The following is a 4,798-nucleotide window of genomic DNA, read 5'->3' as shown; positions in this document are numbered from 1 at the left end:
GTAGCCATTTCTCTTCATCACATTGCCAGCTGATCTCCTGATGAATGTTTTATGTTAATGTGTGGATGTTCTTTTTGGTCTACCTCATTTAGCGAAGCAGCTTGAAAATTTTTCATCCCACATTTCAAATATTTTGTTCCAAGGATACTGAATAATGAAATGTGCTCCTCAGCATCTTAAATAATAAATCCGTTTATTCATGAGGCAATCAATTTTGTAAACTTCATGTAATTTAGGTTTTTCCGATGTAATGTGAGATTTTCCAAGAAAGAGGAAGGATATACAGTAAATAGAATCTTGCCTTTTCCTTTTTATTTTCCTAAGGGTACTATTAAGCCTAAATATGTCTGTCACACAGGCTCTTAAAATAACAAAATAACACTGAAAAATTGAATGTTTCACCCATAGGCCTTTAGGCTTCAGGCTTTAATATCCTTATAATCAACAATGGCCTATGTCAGTGATGGAAGACAAATAGGTAATGACTTTTGGAGAAATAGTGTTTTACCTTCAGTGTGCAAGAACACATTCTAAAGCTTCCAGTGCTATGACTCAGCCTTCAGGGATGTTAAGGAGAAAGAGGCAAAAATTTGGAGCACGTCTCCTGTGGCTCTGAGGAAAGGCAGAGAGAGAAAGCCTGTAATTACCACCTAAAAGTCCCTGGGGCTCTGTCATGGGCATAATTTTGATTTGAGCTGGAGTTTGTTTAGGGATAGGTAAGAGGAGCTATGTTATGCAGTTGGGGATGGGATACTGGTAGCGGGCAAAAGTGAGGAAGTGAGGAGATTATTTACATCCATTCATTCATTCAATAAATCTTTGTTGAACCTAGTATTTTCTAGGCATTGCTGGGGATAGAGCACTAAACGATATAGACAAAAACCCTTGCCTTCAAGGAGCTTATAGTGTAGTGCGGGAAGCTAGGCAATAAACAAAGAAACAAGCAAAAGTTACAGTATGTCAGAATGTGATAAGTGTTTATGGAGAAGAATAAAGCTGGAGAATGGGATAGAGTGTGCTGGTGGGCATAAGAGTACTATTTTAAACAGAGCAGTGGAGGAGGTCTCCCTGATAAGATGATATTTAAGAAGAGAAGGAGGTGAGAGAGAGAGCCATTGAGGAAGAGGGCATGTGCAAGGAAAAAGGCCTCCCAAGTAAGACGAAAAACAGCATGAGCAAAGAAAGGCCTGGAGACAGCAGTGCACTGGCTTGTTCAAGGAGCCAGATGGTTAGAGGGAGCGACCCTAAGGAAACAGCAGGAGAGTTGTGTGTGGGATGTGGGGACTGTCCAGGGTGTGACGTAGGGCCTTGTAGATTCCTACTCTGCCTGAGATAGAAGCCGCTGCAGAGTGCTGAGTTGAAGGGTTAAGGTGCTCTGACACGGAGTTCCAGATAATCACTCTGGTTGCTGTGCGGAGAGTAAACTATAGGTGAATGCGGGGGCAAGGGAAAGGGTGAAGCAGGCGTGCACATCAGTGGAACTTTCAATAATCCAGATGAGAGATGATGGTGGCTTGAACCTGGGCGAAAGCAGTGGCAATGAGGCGTGGTTGGATCCTGAGTATATTTTGAAGTGAGAACCCACAGGACTTACTGATATGGATATGTTTTACAAGATAGAGGAGTCATAAGTGAAAAAATTAATTCTGTCTGAGCAGCTAGAAGGATGATGTTGCAAGATTGAGGAGACTGGGGGAAGTGTGAAGGAAAAGGTTAGGAATTTCTGGACATGTTGAATACAAAATGACTTCAAAGCATGGAGGAAAAACGAACAAAACCTGAGCCCCCTCAATTTTAATGTGTATTGTTTAGGAATACAGATAGGTGGGATAAAAACTTTATAAAATGGAAAGGAATGATAAACACAAAATATAAGATAGTGGCTTTATCATTCGGAGAAGAAAAGGCAGAGTGATGGGGTAGAGAAGGAACATACAGGTTAATGCAATGAAATTGGTGATGTTCCAGTTTTTAAGTGGAGTAGAAGCTTCATTGGTGTTCATTTTATTATTATGCTTCATAATTTACAGATATCCTCTTGCATTAATCAAATGTTACATGGTAAGAATTTAAGAAGGGAATGAGAGCAGTTGAAAACATGGAGTGTGGACAGCTATTTTGAGGGGTGTTTTTGTGAAAGGAAGTAGAATTTTTTTTTTTTAAGATGGAGTCTCACTCTGTCACCCAGGCTGGAGTACAGTGGTACAATCTTGGCCCACTGCAACCTCCGCCTCCCGGGTTCAAGCGATTCCCCCGCCTCAACCTCCTGAGTAGCTGGGATTACAGGCACACACCACCACGCCTGGCTAATTTTTGTATTTTTAGTAGAGACGGGGTTTCATCATATTGGCCAGGCTGGTCTCGAACTCCTGACCTTGTGATCTGCCCACCTCGGCCTCCCAAAGTGCTGGGATTACAGGCGTGAGCCACCACGCCTGGCCGGGAAGTAGAAATATTGAGTTGAAGTGGGGTCAAGAAGGGGTGTTTTAAAATAGGAATAAATGAGAGGATGTGCATCTGCTGATAATGATCCATAATGAAGGTGATATTGACGGCACAGGAGGGAAAGTGTTTCCTTGCTACAGAGATATCATTGAGTAGGAGAGAGGGTGTAGGGGGTTTCTGGTCTCTTCTTGCTCATTTGAAGGAGTTCCCTTTATATTCTAGACACCATTACTGATTTTAGAAATTGAAAATATCTCCTCCCATGGTCACCGTCCTTAGCACCCTCCATTAAACAGAAATTCCTATATTGGATGTTATCAATTTATTTCATGTTTTGTTCAAGGTATTGTTTCTGAATTTTGTGTAAAGAAGTTTCTCCCTGCTCCTAAGTCATGGGAGTAGTCTTTTATGTTTCATTATATCAACTTTATAGCTTTACTTTTCAATTTTAGGCCTTTAATTCTTCTAGCATCTCCCTTTATTTGTAGCATTAGGCAGTGATCCAACTTCAAATTCTCAAAATGGTAAACTAGTTTTTCCAATACAATCTACCAAACAATCTACCTTTTCCCTAGTGGTTTATGGAAAAACAATTGTTTGCAAGATTTTTTTTTTAAATCCCCCTGAGTATTTGCTTTCTCCAAATTTCCTTTTTACTCTTGATATATTGTGACTCCTGCTTTTTTTTAATTACAAATTATATTTCAGCATCTGGTGAGCCTCCCTGCGTGTTCATATGTTTTAAAATTGTCACACTAAAAAGCTGATGCAGGTGGGGGAGGTTTGCCCATTTGCAGGCACATAGTAGGATGGGCTGGGAGGCGGGGAGTCTGTTTCCTTAGGGAATTCTCAATCTTGGTATATCTTAATTGTTTCATTTAAGAGAAGGCTCTTCTAATATCTTGTCTGAAAGATACCCATTCAGCTCCATGCTGTTAGAAAGGGCGAGGAAAGCCCTGAGGTAAGGGATCGTGTTGAGGGAGATTTTCAAAGTAGAATAGACAAATTGTTTGCTTAAACCACCTGTGTTCCTTGGCACAGTCCTGGCTTACACCACACCTGGGTGTTTCTAATCCAACAGACTCTCTGTTTGATACTCTCAGAGAATAACATCCAGTCTGCTTTCGGGGTTCAGATAGGGGCAATAGTTTGGCTAACAGGGCTTGAGTAAAATATCTGTGGTTCTAGAGTTTTGCTGAAACACGTGTGCCCAGTCTTCTTTAGGCAAAGACTTCTAGGCATACTCCAAGCCTGTGATTCCCGAGACGCAGGAGCCCACATGACATCAGTCCTGTGGCTTCTTGGCTTGGGCCTCTGCTGGCTGGGATTCAGCTTCTGCATGACCACGAGAAAGGCATTTACCATTCCCGTGTCTATTTCCCAGATTCCAGAATTGTGATGCACTTGCTGCTGCTGCTTTTCTGTCTTTTGTGAGGCTGGAGACTTTCCACTCCCTCCTGTTCATCTTTCTTGGGAGAAGGTGCCATTTCTGCTCTCCTCGAAGACTAGGCATCTGGGCTGGAGCATCACCAGCCTCTTCACCTGAGCACCCTGAGCGACTTGATATTTAAATGATGTTCTACCTGATAAGAGGAAATCAGTTCACCTGTTTATGAAGAAAAACAGAACAAAACCTCTAGTGCCCAGAAACTTACCAGGATAGGGCTCCCCACTCCCTTCCACTCTGCCTCCTCCTCTCTCCATCTCCCTCCTAGTCCCACAAAGGTCTTTTATTGTTTGATGCAAACTGAGCCAACTCCTCTTTGAATTGAGCCTTGGTGAAGGTGGCAAATGTTATTATGTCCAAATGACCTTTTCTTAAAGGGGACACAAACCCCTGGATGTTCTAAAATAGAGAAACCAGGGAGTCCAGCCATGCAGCACCAAGCTGTGTGACACACGCTGTTTTATAGAACGTGACACACGCTGTTTTGTAGAACTCCAACAGACCTGCCGGCAAATGCAGCTGGTTAGAAAACAAAAGGCCTTTTTCTCCCTTGTGTGCAATTGCACCCAGCATCCTGGCCAGGAAACAGGTGGCTGCATGTTCAGTGTTTTCTTCTGAGAAAGGAGAAGCAAGATATTTAGATCTCTGCTGAGAGGCAGCTGTTCTCCCCTGGCTTTGTGCTAAGACTTGAGCAACATTCTTCCTAGGACTATAAGATGCTTTCCAGGTTTGTATAATTTTTCTTCCAAAGAGCTTCAAAACATGTGCAAACACAGATTTCAATCCCATCGCCACCCCCAGTTTGTAAATGTAGAACCAGAGAGACATAGAAATTAAGCAACATGCCCACTCTAGCGCCACAAGTCAGAGACAGGACCCGGAACAAAGTTTAAGCCATTTGTCTTT

General features: G+C 42.4%; 1 annotated feature.

The window, feature by feature from the left end:
• Nucleotides 464-758: a silencer, noted in NCBI's record as "tiled region #9224; HepG2 Repressive non-DNase unmatched - State 24:Quies, and K562 Repressive non-DNase unmatched - State 24:Quies". NCBI's record gives its function as "represses a minimal TATA promoter and a strong SV40 promoter by Sharpr-MPRA in HepG2 and K562 cells {active_cell/tissue: HepG2 | K562}" and the evidence as "EXISTENCE:reporter gene assay evidence [ECO:0000049][PMID:27701403]".

The sequence above is a fragment of the Homo sapiens genome, chromosome 1 (assembly GCF_000001405.40).
Source record: "Homo sapiens chromosome 1, GRCh38.p14 Primary Assembly".
NCBI lineage: Eukaryota > Metazoa > Chordata > Mammalia > Primates > Hominidae > Homo > Homo sapiens.
This window is presented reverse-complemented; position numbering and strand designations above follow the sequence as displayed.